The 19612-nt window shown below is 34.4% G+C and overlaps 1 protein-coding gene across 15 annotated transcripts in view; it reads left to right on the top strand.

Annotated features, from left to right (window-relative positions):
• The window catches only part of ADAMTS6 (ADAM metallopeptidase with thrombospondin type 1 motif 6), a 333183-nt gene that overhangs the window by 183430 nt on the left and 130141 nt on the right, over positions 1-19612 (top strand). For 12 of the 15 annotated variants that reach the window (XR_007058575.1, XR_007058576.1, XM_011543117.3 and 9 more), the window contains one exon: positions 7021-7162. Coding sequence is in view for 12 of the 15 variants with exons in the window: in XM_011543117.3 (XP_011541419.1) it covers positions 7021-7162 (142 nt within the window). In the remaining 3 variants the exon portion in view is untranslated. Of the gene's footprint in view, positions 1-1246; positions 1384-7020; positions 7163-19612 lie in introns of those variants that run through there. The other 3 variants (NR_135689.2, XM_011543125.2, XM_011543124.3) reach the window with 3 other exon arrangements.

Raw genomic sequence — 19612 nt, 5'->3', positions numbered from 1 at the left:
TTTGAAGATCCGCTCTCCCTAGACATCAAGTCAGATCTGGAATTTCTCCCTTGACTTGGCTTATGTTTTTATAATGGAGTCTTAATGTCCATCACCAGAAAGACAAACTGTATAACATGCTCAAGATTCCTGTGCATTTCTGATGGTTGCTCTTATCTTTTTTGTTTGTTTGTTTTTTTGTTTTGTTTTGTTTTTGTACCATTTTCTTTTCTCTTTTATCTTGTGTCTGTCCCATTGGCTATATTGCACAGCTCATTTGCTAGTACCATCTCTGTATACTAAATACAAGGACCAGTTGTGATCTTCTACCAGATCTTGTCTACTTGAAAGCATACTGAGGCTAAGACACTCCAAAAGGGAATCCCTAAATTGCTGGTAAAATGCAGTTTAAAAATCACCCACTGGTTTGGTGAGGGACATAAAAGTATTACTAGTTTCAATAAAGTGTTCCATTGAATTAATTAAAATAATTGATCCAAAAAGCATTATTTAAGCTTTATAGCATGTATGTGTAAGCATGATTAGTGTTGACAGTGTTCTAATGGGCTTATTTGTCCTGTATTTTATAAAAATATTTCTCATGTGCATCCTCATGGGAATGCTCACAAAGTTAAAACTATTAATGAAAGATAGATGTGAAGCACAATGGGTAGAGACTTGGGGAAAACTTGGCTTTCCCTCCTCTTTAATAATAAAACTAAACAAATCTGATTATAATCTGACCAAGCAATAAAGGGTTTTTAAACACAAAGCTCTTTAAAAAGGTCAGTTCACCGGAGCACAAAGACATAACAGTAACTTTCTTGAATTTCTTTGTTCCTTTTTATTAATGCAGTGAACTTAATTGCTTTAACAGCTATGCGTGATATTTTTTAAAATCCAGTGCTATTTTGATCAGGGATTGAGGTTACATTTATGTTTTATAGTTGGCTAGAAAAGGCTCATAACATTTTATTTTAGCTTCTCTTCTCAAGAAAAAGAATCTTGAAAGATGAATTGTTTAGGAACTGCAGCCCAGCCAACAAAACGCATACCTTTCTCTACTTAGTAGCTGTATAGGCCAAAGATGATGGTGGATTTTAACAATGAGCTTTCTATGATTTATAGAGATTCACAATTCACTATGTTCAACTGAAAACTATTCCATGGCCAATAGAATACAAAGTCTCTCGTGTCATTCTAAAACACTAGATGCTATTGATCAATCAGGAGATGGTGTTTACCAACTCCCAATATTTTTTTTCAGATTTCTTAAACTCGGTGATTCAATAAGTGGTTCATGAATCGCCCAGAAGCCGTCCTGATTAAATAATAAAGAACCCATTTCCGTTAAAATGGACGTGTTATGCCAGCTTCTGATGTTTTCCGGCGACGGCTTTGCAGGTAGTGTCTTTCCTATCTGCCTGCGGGACTGATTTATTTATTTATTTAGACTATAGAGAAAGGTGAACCTGGTATTATGGCTCACACTCATTGATGACTATGGACCAATTTACCAGGCAGTGGAAGACAGCCAGAAGTAATTTAAGCCAGTTTTTCATACATTTTCCACCACTTAGCAATAATACAGAATAATTTCATAAAGGTTTCAAAAATTATGGGGGCTCTGTGAATCAACTCTTGCTCTGTTAAAATTAAAGTCTGTTAACTTTTTTGAACTGTCAAAGATCCATAGCAAAATTTCCTACAGTTCCAAATTAAATACAGAGTAGACATTTTCACAGAAAGAATGGAAGCTGAACGTATTAAGAGAAGCAATGTTACAGTCGGAGTTGACCTAGGAAGAAAGGTGATTGTAGATCTACAAGAGAACTGATATAAGATGAGCAAGATGACCAAAGCACTTACATTTCCTCTCTAGCAATGACCTTCAAAGGTCAACATCAGACTATTATATAAAAAACAATCTTTATAGATGGGACCTTTTTAAAAAAATGTAGAATCTAAGAGCTTGGCAAAACAGGTTTCTCCTCCTTCTGTTTATCTGATACATTTGGGTAACCTTACTCTAACCATAATAACTTTGATAAGTCATAATTACATATAGGGGGAAAAGGGTAAACCATTCTCAATACAGTATTTGTGTCTTGAAAGCTTCAAGCTCAGTTATATTAAGGGTGAGAGAAAAAGATTTGCCTTAGAAGGCAGTACATTGTTAGCTTCATTGAGAAGACTGACAAAGCAGTTTATGAGACTATAGTACGTAAGACAGTTGACTTACTGTAGATGATATCAACCCAATTCTATTTTGCTTAATTTATGTGAATCAGCCCAACTTAGTGGAATAAAAATAGGAGGTGGCATTAAGTGTTAACTTTTTGTTGTTGTTGTTAAGAGACTGTTAAGATATATACAGGGTTATATAGAAAGATTTCTTTTTTAGATTGACCCACTGTATTGTAGACTAAAATTCATATTTTATGGTATAACTGTTATAGTGAAAATACATCTAAAATCACAATTAAGAGTATATCCTAATGTGTTCTGGAAACAAAGCCATGAGTGCATATTTTACATAGGGATCTGTAAATTTTTGCTGATGACCGAACTGTAACTCATATTCCTATATTCAAGGCTAATTTTTGGATTATGTAAATAAGACCTCTCTAAATTAGAAGTAGAATTCATAAAATATGACTTTCTCATCATACTGCAAACATTTTGAGAAATGTAAATATACTTTGATTTACTGTGAATTTCATAATCAAGGGAGAAGTATATTCTAAAACTAATGTATTTTTTTGCTTAGTCTTAGAAGCGTAAACAAAAATAGAGTCTAGGAATTCAATAATTATCTGTGTTGCTGTCGATATTAACTAGGGTTTGGGTTTTTAGTTGTGATTATATGCTGCTAGGGAAATAATCACAGGTCTACTTTTTATATGTACAATTTTGATCTGACAAGTATATGTTTAATAATAAATTGTAACTACATAACATAGATGGAGACTAACACTATTCTACATTTAATAATGAGTGAGGTTCATGTTTTCTGAGTGGACAAATTTGCGTATTACACCAACATACAAACCATCTATGTTTAAAATTATTATTTGATGAGAAGATTTGTATATAATATCACTACAGTGCTATTATAATTTTGATAGTAGCATAAATAACACTGGACATGTAAGAATTGTATAGTTTTATCTCAATTAGCTATAAGACAACTTATATCTAATATTTTATGAAAGGAAATATTAGGTTGGCACAAAGGTAATTGTGGTTTTTGCCATTAAAGTAATTGCAAACACACAATTACTTTTGCACCGACCTAATAGATTTACACATTTATACCAGGAGACATACAAAAAGTGTTCATATCAGCATAATTTGCAATTCTTAGAAATTGGAAATAATCCAGATGTTTATTAGTAGAGGAATTATAAATAACTGTGACATACTTATAAATGGAATATTAAAGAACAATAAAAATGAACAGGCTACAATTAGATTTACACACATCAACATAGAAGTAGCTCATATTCACAATGTTGAGCAAAAGAATAAAGTTACAAAAGACTACCCACAGTATGACTACTTTTATATAAAGTCTCAAAACTGGCAGATGAATAATTAGACAGTAAAATTATTAAGCAAAACAAGGAAATTATTATTATAAAAAGTTAGGATAGTAGTTACCTTTGGGGGTGGGGGGAAATGAGGGATATTACTGGAATAAAGCACTTGAGAATTTTCATAGAAAAAAAGTAAGGAAAAGCACTCCCAGGGTTAAATATACATTGCTCACATTTATGTCTTCTACCTCTGTATCTATATCTGTAATATTTCATAATGGTAATTGATGACTCAGAGGCATGAAAATATCCAGAATTATTTTAAGAATTAATTAGTAACTAATAATTATCATCTATAGGCTTTAGTTACTTGAACATAGCAGGAAAGTAGCAGACAAATTTTGGTTAACATAGTTCAAAAAGCATTTTTCTTGCTTAACCCTTAGTTAAGAATTAAAATATAGGCCAGATGCAGTGGTTCATGCCTATAATCCCAGCACTTTGGGAGGCCAAGGCAGGAAGATCTCTTGAGACCAGGAGTTCTAGACCAGCCTGGGCAAGATGGTGAGACTCAGTATCTACAAAAGATACAAAAATTAGCCAGGCATGCCTCTGGTCCCAGCTCCTCCGGAGGCTGAGGTGGGAGGATCACTTGAGCCCAGTAGTTCAAGGCTGCGGTTAGCTGTGATCATGCCACTTCACTCCAGCCTGGGTGACAAAGCGAGATCCCATCTTAAAACAAAAACAAAAGAATTAAAACAGGAAAACTATCCCATCCCTCAAATATTTAAATCAAGGTTTTACTGTATATACCAGATATGGTTACTAGAAGGAAAATGTACTACACATGTAGTAAACGTGTAGAAATGTACAACCAATTTAAATCCACCTTGCAGATACATCCCCACATTTGCTTTACTGGAAGACACTTGACTTGTAAGCCTTGCTAATTTGTACAAATATAGCCAAATCCATTTCAAAAGTCCTTTGTTTATTCCATGTTTCTAAATGCTGGTTCATTTTTAAAGATCCATATGGTTTTCCTTTATATTTTATTTCATATGGTGTTTTATTCTTCTGTAAAAATGTACTGGAAAAGGAGAACAAGACTTGTCTAGACTACATTAATACAAAGCAATAGGTGCTTCCAGAGAACTAAAACAAAAATACACTTTTGGGATAAACTTTCTTAGAAGAGTTTTGACCACAGGTGCCTGCAGTTCATGGCATTCTTGGTGGGGTGAAGGCCATTGCAGTTGTCCTCTGGTTTGGTATTTTTTAAAGAACATGAACCATGATTAGAAAACCACTAATATTAATATATTGAAACAATAATTTTAGATGAAGCAATTATTCTTGCTTCCTTCTGGGTTAAGTCAGTTTCCAATTTGCCATCAGAAAAGAATTTTTTCCTCAGGATATCTATTCTTAAATTCTTCTTTGGGATCTACACAGTTCTTCCTCTGATTCTGGGTTAATTTTATGTATTACTAAAAGTAATTATTTTAAAATTTAAATAAAATAAGTTGGTGTCACCAAAAGCTGGTGTCACTTAGGTGAATATATCCTGCACTTTTTTGGTTATGCCATTGTAAATATTTTTTGCCTATTGGATACCTACTTCAGTACACAATTTAAAATAAATATTTTCCATAAAAAAGATTTATAGTAGTACTTAACTTGTTATTTTATTTTTATTACATATTTAATTCCTTTCATAAAGATATTTATAATTTTATTGTCAGTAGAAATGAAACAGATATTTTAGAAGAAAATTGGGGAATTAAACTACTAATTCAGTTATCTCACCAATATCCTAATCAAAATGGTTCTTTTTCCATTGTACTATTCAAATATGACCTCTTTGTCATTAACCTTAATATATAATTTAAGATTTACTAGTAGCATTACATTTGCCTAAAGTTTGCATATCCTTATAAATTAAAGATATTTTACGTAATAAAGCCAAAAAAGCATTATTTAAAAAATTCATCTAGAGGTAATTTTTCTTGCTGAGGTACATGTCAATTTCTAAAAGTATAATAAAAAGGAAATAAAAAAGTGTTCTGTTATGAAAACTGGATAGCTGGGTGAAAAAAGTTTGTTCTTTGTTAGTTAGTTAGTTAGTTAGATACCTTGAGCAGTGACAAATGAAATGATTGTAGTAGCCAGTGGTAAAATCCATCTGTATTAGTACCATACTTAATATTCCTTTTAAATATTTCTTATTGATTAAAAAATCAGGAGGGCATGAAAGAAAGGAGAAGGATATAAAGAAGACAGTAGTCTGTCTCTTTGGTCTTTAACTCTATATCACCGTAGGAATAGTATGGTTCAGTTTTTAAAAGGTATTAATTTGCTGCTGTGTGTGAACATACCTTTTTATAGAACACATTGACTTTGACATGTTAAGAATATGAGAAACTTTTAAGTGAATAGCAAAGTCATTGTTATGCATAGTTCTTTCTTAGTTATCTATAAATGAAAAATTGTACTGTCCTAAATAACAGTTGAGGAACTTCTACTTGTGAAATTATTTTCCTTTGGCAAAGTGGATGGAAAAGATTTGGAAAAAAAAAAAAAAAACACAAGTGCTGGCACAATGGACAGGAATGTTGGAAAAAATTTTTAAATGTTGGCATAGGAATTCTTTAAAAATTCTAACTTACTCACATGTGAAATGAAAGTAAAAAAGCATCTGTCCTATTTTATGCACACTGACTAAATAAAAATGAACAATTATATTTAGCAAAGTTTAAAGCTCTTTAAACTAAGGTATTTTGTCTGGGTTTTGGCGACCTTTATGTTATTTGTTCTACTGAATTAAAATATTATGTTTGAGTGCAGGCATAGCTTGAAACGCAGAAATTATACAAAGAAGAGAACATTCTCTTTTCCAATTCTGATGATTCTAGATGAAATATGAAATTTTTGAGAGACTAAACACTTCTAATATATTTGAGAGGAAAACTTTGGTCGTTGGCCTCATCTGTCATTCAACCCATTTATTAGTGAAATATTTCAAGAACCTATGGACATGCCTTAACACAACATCTATTGTTCTGCCCAAGGTGGAACTATATAAATTAGGTCTTTAAGGATTATAACCATAATTATTTTTTTTTTAATTTTCTGCATTTCATGTTTTTAATTCTACTACCAGATGTGGTTATATTTTCAATAAAAACAAACAAGAAGCTTAGAGCAATATGAAATTCTGTTTTGATTCCTTGAGAAATTAGCTTAAATCAAGGCCAACGTGACATTTTCATATTGTTGTCTGAAATGATTTTATTGTGTCTTGGTGCTAAAATGAATTATTTGGAGCTCTTATTCAGGTTTCAGTAAAGCTATTCTGTTCTGCCATGTGATTATTTATTGGGAGAATGTATTGTTTTTCATGCGTCAAGTTATTAAAACAAAGCTCAACACGTGGTTTCATAATTGTGACTAAAATAGCCCATAGAATACCTAATTTCCTTTGATCCTTTATGTTGAACAGTTCAGGCCGTGGTACTTGCCTTGATAATGAGCCTCCCAAGCGTGACTTTCTTTATCCAGCTGTGGCCCCAGGTCAGGTGTATGATGCTGATGAGCAATGTCGTTTCCAGTATGGAGCAACCTCCCGCCAATGTAAATATGGGGTAAGAAGTCTTCATCCTTATGTTTCGTCATTTATACGTGTTCTTCCATGACACAGATGTTAAGATGGAATTACGATGAATGTCGGTTCCCTCTAGTAATATCTTTAATTTAAATATGGCTTTTGACACTGCAGTTTTTCTGACATCATATGTACAATATTTTTTCTAAATGTTTCAATAATCCTAAGTTAAGCACATTACAGATTTCTTGTGAGGGATGCAGGTAGAATTTTAGTAATTCTTAATATATTTTTTCTTTAAATCTTGAATTTATGATGCCAACTTTATTTCGTCTTTTGAAATGTTATGGCTTTAAAATCCCTCTGCCACTTTTCTGATACTCTTATAATTGAGCTAAAGGGCATTTTTACATTAGCTAGACAGCTTTACTTTTATTCCTACTTGATAGTGCTAAGTCACTTCATGTTGCTTCATCCACTGCCCACATTCCAGCACCACAACCAAGCAGGAACAAGATGACATTAGCTCAAGTAGTGAAACAAGGAAAATTGCTATGAAAGAAAAAAAAATGTAGGCATCATAATTTATTCTGCATGTCTGCCTTAAAAAAAAGTCACAGTGTCTACATCAGAAAATGAATAAAATTCTTTTTAAGTTTCATAGAGCAAGATTTTAGTGGACATGTTCTTATTAAGAACACAATATAAGCATAGTGAATGAAAAAATTGGTTTTTAATATGTCAAATTGCTTACCAAAAAAATTCAGATTTAAAAAATAAGTTGAGAGCCTTGATTTTTTTTTCTTTTTCTTTTTTTTGAGACAGAGTCTCGCTCTGTCGCCCAGGCTGGAGTGCAGTGGTGCAATCTTGGCTCACTGCAACCTCTGTCTCCTGGGTTCAAGCAATTCTCCTGCCTCAGTCTCCTGAGTAGCTGGGAATACAGGCGTGCACCATCATGCCCGGCTGATTTTTGTATTTTTAGTAGAGACGGGGTTTTGCCATGTTGGCCAGGCTGGTCTCGAACTCCTGGCCTCAAGTGATCTGCCCACCTTGGCCTCCCAAAGAGCTAGGATTACAGGTGTGAGCCACTGCGCCTGGCCTGATTTCTATTTCTATGCAAATAGTCTTTTAAATCCTCTTTTAGAAATAATAATAATTAAGGGTTAAGGTAGTATTGTACTGTATCATTGCACTGTATGTATCCTCTTTAGGTACAGAATAAAAGGAAGTGTTTTCTTAAATATCTCTTTGGTGACAAGTATATTATTATTATTCTTGTTAGGCTTTAGCAGCACATTTGTGCACTAGCTTGAAAGATTGTGTGTGATTATATGATATGTAGAACCTTGTGTAAAACTTTGGCTTATCCTTAATCTTATTTTGTATGGTTCTAGTTTCTTTTGTTCTTAGGTTGTTTATGTTTCAATAAAAGTCAGTCGAACTTTAATCATAGTCTTTCTATATATACTTACGGATTAATACATTGAAATTCATGATCAAATGAACTTAGAAAATTTCTGTTAGATTATTCATATCTATGTCTCTCATTTCTTTGTTAGCAAGTGAAATAATCTATATTTTTGTTTTCTATTGGAAACTGGATTTTAACTCTACATGCAAATTTCTACATTAGATAATTTATTCAGTTTTATAGAATCTATGGCTACACGATATAGTCTTTTTCTCTCTCAAATAAATTAATAAAAATTTGACTTAATTCTTCTTGCTATATCTATATATCTAATTCAGTTCAGACTAATTGATTTGAAATGAGATAAAGAATACAAAATTATATATTTTTACTTTATGTTCCTGATATTCTGCTTTTATATTCTTTTTATTTGAGATGGAGTTTTGCTCTGTCACCCAGGCTGGAGTGCAGTGGCACAGTTTTGGCTCACTACAACCTCCACCTCCTAGGTTATTCTCTCACCTCAGCCTCTGAGTAGCTGGGATTACAGGCGCTCACCACCACATCTGGCTGTTTTGTATTTTTGGTAGAGATGGGGTTTCACCATGTTGGCCAAGCTGGTCTTGAACTCCTGACCTCAAGTGATCAGCCCGCCTCGGCCTCCCAAAGTGTTGGGATTACAGGTGTGAGCCACCATGCGTGGCTTGCCTTTATATTCTTAATATGTTTTGTTTATAAAGACTTCTGTAATAGATACAAACTAAAATTGGAAAACTTTGAGAAAGACATTAGTATCTTACAGACCTACACAGTTTTAAGTATTTTATCGTGAATCCTTTTCACTTTGATTTGTAGCAAAATAATGGTTTCCCTAGATTCATATACTATATGAAAATGCTTGTGTTATTTGTTTAAGTGCAATATGTTACTAACAAAGTGTATTGAGTCATAATTGATTCTTTACAATCACTCCCACCTCTGAACTTGTGTCGGTTTACACAAATCTACGCTGGTTTATATCTGGTGAATCCCTAAGGTTTTAAACAATTCTAAATACTACTTTGGAAAACAATAGTGGCTTCAAAGGTCAGAGTCCAGTGGGTAAGCAAATCATACTTCAGATGGCAGCTGAAGGGAAAAACAAACCAGCCCTGATTTAGGTAGCTGTCTAAGTGTAGCATGCTGAAATGAACACTAAATACAGTTGCTGTAGACTTAGGAGAATATTTTAGAATTTTTGAGAGGAGATACATCTGGTGTTGAAAAATCATGAAATGATTCCTCTTTCAACTAGCAGGTCTCTCATGATGTCAGGAAAGATTTTAAAGAACTACAGAATGGGCCAGGTGTGGTGGCTCACGCCTGTAATCCCACCACTTTGGGAGGCCGAGGTGGGTGGATCAAGAGGTTAGGAGATCAAGACCATCCTGGCTAACATGGTGAAACCTCATCTCTACTAAAAATACAAAAATTAGCTGGGCGTGGTGGTGCACGCCTGTAGTCCCAGCTACTCAGGAGTCTGAGGCAGGAGAATCACTTGAACCCGGGAAGCGGAGGTTGCAGTGAGCCGAGATAGTGCCACTGCACTCCAGTCCAGCCTGGGCTACAGAGGGAGACTCCATCTTAAAAAAAAAAAAAAGAAAAGAAAAGAAAAAAAGAAAAAAGAAAAAAAAAGAACTACCGAAGGATCTATACTGCAGAAGTGATCAGCTTTCCATCTCTTCCACTTGGCCATAAAGTAGTCATTGCTGGGTTACCAATGATTACATCTGTAGTTATGAAAAATCTTGCCTGAATTCTTAGTGAGTAGGTTCATTAATATACATGTTAGTTATGTTTGGAAATTTACATGAAAATTTTTCTGTTTTATTTTACTCAGGGCAACATTTTTCACTATTATTCTTGCATATCATCTTTTCTTATTTTTCAAGTGTTCTTAAATTCCTATAGAAGTTGTGAGGAGGTTGTAATGGCTGTAAATACAAAGAACAAAACAGTACAGTACAATATACAGAGTAATATAGTTGTATAATGCAGTATTCTATAAATGATATATAGTTTCTGGTATTTATGTAGTGACTTTTTTTCTGAGCTACTTCAGATTGAGTTGATAAAAATCATAATTATTGGCCAGGCACGGTGGCTCACGCCTGTAATCCCAGCACTTTGGGAACCCAAGGCAGGTGGATCACCTGAGGTTGGGAGTTCGAGACCAGCCTGACCAACGTGGAGAAACCCTGTCTCTACTGAAAATACAAAATTAGCCAGGCGTGGTGGCACATGCCTGTAATCCCAGCTACTCGGGAGGCTGAGGCTGGAAAATGGCTTGAACCCAGGAGGCGGGGGTTGCAGTGAGCTGAGATTGTGCCACTGCACTCCAGCCTGGGCAACAAGAGCAAAACTCCATCTCAAAAAACAAACAAACAAATCATAATTATTATATAATATTTTATAGGTGAGGAAACTAAAAATACAGAATGTGATATACCTACTCCAAAGTAAATAAATAAATAAATAAAGTCCTAATTGATGTCAGTTCTGTTTTCTATTAGGAATAGTAATTATGTTAATGAAACACAGGTAGCAGATGTATTTTGTTTTACAAGACACTTGTTATTAAATTTTTATCAGGTAATGTCTGTTACTAAAAATCTTCTCTAAAGTCCTGTCCCCGTCTTTTTTGGGGGAGAGGTGGTCGGGGGACCTTCTCTAAAGTCATTTTTTAGGGTCATAAGTTATCAGATGTCTGAAACTCTTGAGTCCTGGATTTAAGTGAATTTCTTTTCTTTTACCTTATATAAAAAGATAGGACGTCTTCAAGGTACCTGCAAAGCTAGATTCTTACCAGATCATCTAAAAATATCTGCTAGCTCTGTTGTAGGTTTCTAAGGGGCCTTGGATGATTCCTGGATGAAAATACATTGCAAATAAAACAGCAGTATCAGTATGTCCAAGAAATGTTTCTTTGGCTTTTTAGAGTAATAAGCTCTTTCCTGTAAAACTCTGGAGAATCTGTTGTCTCTTCCATTTTCCATTAATCTCTTTTTTATTAGAAAAGAATTACAAAAACTGAATTATCAAAAAGCATACTGCAGTAATAACAATAAGTTTAAACGTAGGAAGGAAGTCACTAATGAGCCTATATAATGTAGGGGCTGTGGGTAATCTTTTGACTGCTTCCCAAAAAGCATAGATTAATTCAAGGCTCAGCCTCAGCTTTAGCTCTTTATTTCTTTATTCTGTCACTTAAATCAAATCTCAATTATTGTTTTCCAGTACACTTAATGGTTCAGTATAGGTTAACAATATCCAGTACATAATTTACTGTTAATTATTAAGAGCTGATTGTTCATCTACAGGTAGATTTAAGACCACAAAATCAAAGAAATTTTATAGACATCATAGCTTTGTTTATTTATGGGAAATTTTTATTGTCTATGAAGTTTGTCACTGTTTACATAGACTTAAATGTTAGCACATAAATGCATAATAGTGTGTTGTACATGTTACTGCTTATTTTAAATGTAGAACTGAAGAATGTTTTATCAGTAGGCCATATATCCTGAACCATAAATGGGAACACATGAGCTAATACATGGTGTCATGATGGATGGAACAGCATATTTTTATCAGAATATTTTAAATAAAAAAAAATCTGTTCACCATAAACTATTACTATGACCTAAAATTGACCATTAATAGATTTTACTCAGTTTTGGGCACTTTTTTCAGCGAACAGCAGCCAGGTTGTTCTTGTAAACTTCAGACAGCAAAAAGGTATGACAAGCATGCAAATTGTCTTTTATTTACCTGGCACATGACATTCAATAAATGTTTTCATTTCCTCTATGAACCTCTGTCATCCGTGATAACATTTCGGTATAGCTGATAATGCTGGTACTGCTTTAGGAGAATCTGAACCTTTTGTACTTTGGGGAGCATGTTAAGATATTCCAAGGCGCACATACTGACTCAATTTCACTCTTCAGTCTCAGCTCAAATGCCAGTTTCTCTTCCGACAGGCCTTCTGTCTGATCATTCGCTATTAAAAAGGCTTTCCTCAGTTACTCTGTTTCACATTATACTGTTTATTACTTTCATAGCACTTTTAGAAATCCATAATCATGTTGCTTATTTGGTTACTTATTAAGTGTGATCATGTAAATGAGGCCTTTTCTAACAACATTACTTAATATTGTACATCCACGTGCACACACAGACACATACACACACACTTCCTATCATTTTCCTTAACATTTATCATTTCCTGACATACTATCTATTTTACTTGTTTATCTTGCTTATTACTACTTTCCCCCCTAGAAAGTATTTTCCTTGGGGGCAGATATTTTGTCTGATTCACAGCTGTATCCCCAGTGGCTAGAACAGTGCCTGGCTCATGGTAGGTGCTCAATTAATATTTGTTGAATGAATGAGCTGATAATTATAATGGGAGTGTAACTGCCATGAGGGGAAGGATTCCACCTGACTTGTTTATGGCTATTTGTGTAGTGACTAGTTCAATGCCTGGCATATGGGAACTCAATAAATATTTGACAAATAGATGAGTGAGAAGAGTTATCTGGTGAAGAGAGTGGAGAGAGGACCTTTGGGAAGACCGAGAGCCTGTGTATTTGAAGAGGTGAGAGAAAGCCACTGTGCCCAGTGCTCTCAAATAAACACCACACAAAAGAAACAGGAGAAAAAGGTAGAAGCCAAGTGTAACTGCACCTTATAGGCCACGTTAAGTTTCTATCTTAAAAGCAGCAAGATGCCAGAAAATAACATAATGTCTAAGGCATATTATGTCTTAGGAAACAAATGTAATTCTGTAATCTGGAAAACCCATGTTAGAAAATTAAAGGCTTTTATAAAGTGATCTGTGGTGTCCTCTTTTCCCTTTTCTCTTGCCCTCCAAACACAGCCTACGCAGAGTACTAAAACAGCTCTGCCACTAATGATTCTCCAGTGTAGCAATGTCCTTACTTTTATAGGTAAATATAGAATTTATTCTTTTTATACTAGAGGGTGCTTATAACTCTGAAATGAGATGAATGGAGGTGTTTGTGTGTAAAGGTGTGTGGGCTCCATAATTTTGATTTAAGATTGCAGAATCCCAGTGTGTTGTAGTGGAAACATAACTTATAAAAGGAGAATATGACATAACTTTAAGACTTCACATTAATTTTTACTCTTTCCAGTGGAAATACATTTGTGACCATTGTTATATTTTACTTACAGATCACCAAACTTGAAAGTTTTCTCTTCTACTTACCTCAATTAGATGATTAATGATAGAATAATCTACAAGTGGTTGAGTGCCATATTTGTTCCAAACTTTAAGTGATAAGAGACTTTTAGGATTTAATATTAGAAATGAAGATCAAGAGAGTAAATATAGATATAAATTTGGATTTATTAATTTATAGTAAGAAATCTAGCCACATAGTTTATATTCATTCAATTCCATTGAAATCTGCATATTTTCTCACTGAAACAAACCTACCCAGTAGGCCAATTTATTATTGAAAAATTATTCAGTAAGCCTTGAATAAAAATATGGGGTAGTGCATAGATTATTTTCTTAATATATTAATTAATAACTATAATAATAATGCCATCAAGCTGTGCCTACCTGAATATAGCTCTTTGATGTCAGGGTAACTGCTAGAGACAAGATAGTTGAGTTCTCTGATCAAGGTATCCTTTCCCTGGAGAGTATTTAATAAAAACTGACATGCTTTGTCTCTCAGACTCATGCTTATTCCCTTTTGTTTATTTTATTATTTTATCACCACCAATTAAAAAAGATTCAGTTATTATTGCATTGTTATTGAGAATCATTCTTTCATATAATTGTATGTTAGTTGTACGAGTCTTTTGGGGATATCACTGGCCACCTATACAACTTTTTTAAGAGATACAGACAACTTGGGAGAGGATAGCAGGGAAATACTGAGAAGTACATATAAGGGAATGAGAAAATGAGTTTGAGTAGCCTGTAAAAAAGAAAGCTAAATGTTGGCCTCAAAAACCATTTTCTGGTTTTGGAACACTTATTACAGTTTGATTGCTGGTAACAAATTGTTCTGCTTCCCTACCAAGAGCATAAAATATCCCACAGTTGTCTTAATTTTTACAGCTGGAAGGTTGTAGATTAGGTATTAGGAAGAATTTCAAGTTATTAAATATTGGAATGTTAAACTGAGAAAGATTATAGAATCACACTTTCCTTGAAGATTTTAAGGTGGTATAAATATTCTACAGTGTTGTTTTATACAGGTTTAGGGAATAAAAGGTGTGTAATTATTTTAGCACCTCAATATTCTTTTGAAATCCAAACATATATTTATCAGGCATATACTTGACAAGAAGTTTATTTGATTTTTTTCTTAAATTCTAAGCTAAAATCATAAGTCCATGATCACTTGTATCTTTAAAGATTACTAGTTTTTACCCTGCATTTGCTTCTTAGAGGTTTTTTCTTTTCTTTTCTTTTTTTTAACCATTTAGTCAGTTTTGAATACTTTTAAGTTGGTGATTAGTTATATAAATGGGATTTGTGGATTAAGGGTTTTTTTAGTTTAGTTTTTGGTTTTTTGCCATTCTAGGATCTGTTGTACTTAAATTTCCCATTACCCGTAACATAACAGGATTAAACTATTTAAGGCAAAAATAAGGGTACATTATCCTCTTTCTTCAGATGGCTACTAAACACCTGAAACTAGGCCATAAGGTCACCATATGTTGGTTTTCAATTTTCCTTTGTGTGATCAAATGATAAGTAACCTTTCTAAGCACTGATGCCCCTTCCTGACCTTTAGGGCTCTGCTCTCCCTCTTTACCTTCAGGATCCTTTATTGCAAGCAGCTGTTGAGAGGTGTTACTGATAGGCTAATGTGGACAAAGAGGATGTTTCATATTTAGAATCAAGGACCCAACATGCCTAGAATTTAGAGTTTCCCAAGGGCCAAAAGTGTGCGCATGTCTCTTTTTTAGTCTTTAAACTTCATTTTAAAAAAATTTTAAAGCCAGCCAGCAGCTGTAAACCAACAATAAAATCCTAAGCTCCTCAACCGTTAGACCCCACCTTCCTTCTTGGCCAAGGTTATTCCAAAGTAAACCTGAAAATCTAGTTGAGGCCACGATGGGAAGGTGGGGTCAGACATACCTCATTATACCGTCCTCTCTTTGGAAGGTACAGCTGACCAACATTATCATTAAAACAGAGATCTTAAGATTGATGAAACAGACTCTTTGTAGCAATAAGATACCAAATTCCAACCTGACTCTCGTATAGCATCACATGACGGATAGCAGGCCCCGAAAGAAATGGAAAAATTTTACCCTAAAATCTATTTATTTGGCATATGTTGAAGCGGCCCTGTAGAGCTGTCTCTTGTAGGGAGAAGACACATTCTGCTGAGAATCCCCTTCCCTTTCCAGGTCTTTTCCCTGATCCAGCAGAGAATTAACTGGGAGTCTGGCACCTTTTTAAGTCTAATAAGAAACATTTACAAACTATTCTCTCTGGGAAGCCTGCTACCTGGAGGCTTCATCTGCATAATAAGAACCTTGATTTTCACAATTCCTTATCCTAACCCAGACATTCTCTTCTATTGATTCCAGGTCTTTAGATAATAACTCTTTCAACCAACTGCCAATCAGAAAATCTTCTACTCCATCTATGACCTGGAACTCCCCACCCCTTAAAATGTATAAAACCAAGCTGTAGCCTGACCACCTTGGGCATATGTTCTTAGGATCTCCTGGGGCCATGTCATGGGCCATTGATGACTCATATTTGACCTAGAATAAATCTCTTCAAATATTTTACAGAGTTTGACACTTTTTTGCCGACACAATAAAGACACCATTTTCTCTTCACATACTGCTTTCCTTAATGATATAATAATTGTAAAATGATTTTATTCTTTCATGATGTCACCTCCTCCCCTTGTGTAAGCTGCTAATTTTAATTTTCCTCGGTAAATAGAAGAGTTTCTCTTCCCATTTTTTAGTCTGGTTTAACGTATATAGTTTCTTAAAAATAATGAAAACATTAGAAAAGGTAATTCTAACAATTTTTAGAAATTATACTCTTTGTGAAACAATCATTCCATTCTGATCAAAAAAGCCCTATTTTAGTTCTTTACAAGGTTATTTTCTGCATATTAGGTAAGTTATTTTACATTAGATGATTACCATAAAACTGTTTTCTAAATATATTTTTATTACCCACTTATATTTGTTAATATTTTAAATTATTGTTAATATTTACAAATAGTGTTGTTCATTTCAAAACTCATGTAAACCAAAAATCTGTGAATTGATACTAAAATTTTAAATAAGTAGGAGTATTTTTAAATGTCTTGTTTCTTGGAAGACCTTGAAACACTTTTGTGAAATATGTTAACAGTATCTTTTTAAAATCCACACCCAAGTGTTGATATTACATTTGGAAGTTCAGTAATAATAATGCATAAGTTGATTCCTAAACTCATATATTGAGTGAAGATGTTATAAATTAGTATATAATAGTTATAATTTGGAGATATTGTCCGTTAAAATCAAAGTAAAAAATAGGAGGGTATTAAGTTTAGTGAGGTTTTATATTTTATTGGAATACAAAAGTAAACCATTACTAATCAGCCTTAATTGGCCAGTGACATTTTTCAGTTCTGATACATTTAAGAGAAATGGGAAAGTAGCTTAGGTGTGTGGTGATTATCTGGGACATTGATATCGAACAGAGCTGATTCAAATCTACATCTAGTTAGAACTGAAACAAATTGCTAAATTATTCTGAACCTAAAGTTTCTCACATTTTCTAAAGAGATTACCATGATGAATAAATGAGATACAAATATGAATATGCCTGGCATAGTTGTTGATAGTATACCCTGAAAAAAAATTAGTTCCTTTCTTTTATTCCTGCCTACAACATCCCTACATGATCCCTAAGTGATCATGAAATATGTGCTGAAGTATCTACAGTGATGGGGATTCAGTTTTAGTTCATCATGGTTCACTCTGACTTTTGGAAGATTCTTCTGTATATAGAACTGAAATCTGCTTTTACGCATTGATTGAACTGACTTCTCCTCTAGGTTGTCCTGCATATTTTTTCCCCAGTCATTTATAAAATTGACTTTCTAAACTCTAGGAAAATAGTTCCAGTTTCAACAACAGGACAAATAGTAAACACAATCATTCCTTCAGGTATGAAAACAAGAATGCTAGATAAAATAAAACTAATAAACTCAACTAAATTTAGTTCATTTAGCTACAACATGTACTTATGTGATCAGAAAGGACATAGGAACAGTTGAGGAATGATGCCAGTATAATGCACAAGCCTTGTTTTTTTCATGTGTGAATGTTTCCTAGTATATTAATGATTTGAAGCTATCGGGCAAGCTTTCTCATATTTAAAGATATAGTCTATAGCATTAAAGACTCTTAGAAAGGCCTAAAGAAAGGTCTTTTTATAATTCAACATGGTGGTTGGCTTAGTGGCTTTATTTCCAAAACACTAAGCTCTTTATTGCAGCCATGAGGGCAGATGATGAAGCTGTGAAGATACACATCTTTTGTATCATTTGTGTTATAGTTTAAAAGTTGATTGATAAAGCTAAAGTCTGGATCCAATTCTTAATTTTTATGAAAGAGGTTTCTATTGGAGGCAAATGTCCTCAAAAGCCAATGTCTCTAAGAAGGAAGCATTACAAACCACAGAGATTAAGGCTGCAAAGGATCAGCTGATTGGGATGCTGGGAACAAATGCCAGCAGAGATTTAACTGTGCAAATGCTTTAATGAGGCAAAAAATGGCTCCCATAAGAAACTGAAGCCCCAGGCTTGTGCCTCACATAAGAACAAAGTAAAACCATATACAGCCTACATGGTGCTGACCAAATAAATCAACATGACAAATTGGTTCAGTGAAAACCTTGGGATGTGTGATAGAAATAAATGAAGGTGCACTTCTACAATTCAAGAGGCACAGAATACGCAAAGAAAAAATAATATTCACTGAAGATAAGCTTGAATACAAAATAACAAACAACACGAGGAAACAATCCACCATGAAGTTGACAGATAGGAAGATTAATGATCCAAGAGAAAAAGATAGGGAAATATCTAAGAGAGGTTAAGAAATAGGTGGTTGAAATGAGAAGGTCTAACTTAAGTTAAATAGGAGCTTTAGAAGAAAGAATAGGAAAGATACACATTAAAAGAGATAATAACTAATAGTTTTTTAGAATCAAAGAAAGACATAGAAATCAGAGCATGAATCTCAAGTAGATAAATAAAAAGAACACTTAGATATAGTAATGAAGCCCAGGCAGAGTGGCTCATGCCTGTAATCCCAGCACTTTGGGAGGCCGAGGCAGGCAGATCACTTGAGGTCAGGAGCTCAAGAACAGCCTGGCCAATGTGGTGAAACCCTGTCTCTACCAAAAATACAAAAATTAGCCAGGCATGGTGGCAGGCGCCTGTAATCCCAGCTACTCAGGAGGCTGAGGCAGGAGATTTGCTTGAACCCGGGAGGCGGAGGTTGCAGTGAGCCTAGATGGCACCATTGCACTCTAGCCCGGGTGACAGAACGAGACTATGTCTCACAAAAAAATAAATAAATAAAAGATACAGTGATGAAATTGTCCCAAAGCAGATAGAGAAAAAAATTGGAAGCAACAAGAAAGACTACAAAGGTCGGGTACGGTGGCTCATGCCTGTAATCCCAGTGCTTTGAGAGACCAAGGCAGGAGGATTCCTTGAGCTCAGGAGTTCAAGACCAGCTTGAGCAACATGGTGAAACTCTGTGTCTACCAAAAAATACAAAAACTAGCTGAGCGTGGTGGCATGTGCTTGTAGTCCCAGCTACTTTGGGGGATGAGGTGGGAGGATCACTTGAGCCTGGGAAGTCAAGGCTGCAGTGAGCCATGTTCACACCACTACACTTCAGCCTGGGCTACAGAGTGAGACCCTGCCTCAAAAAAAAAAAAAAAAAAGACTGTAAAGAAGAAACAGCAGTTAGACTGACAAGTGACTTTTCATCAGCCTCCACAGAAGTCAA

Source organism: Homo sapiens, chromosome 5, assembly GCF_000001405.40.
Source record: "Homo sapiens chromosome 5, GRCh38.p14 Primary Assembly".
NCBI classification, from domain to species: Eukaryota; Metazoa; Chordata; class Mammalia; order Primates; family Hominidae; genus Homo; species Homo sapiens.
Note: the sequence above shows the minus strand (reverse complement) of the source record. Positions and strands in the feature narration are given on the sequence as shown.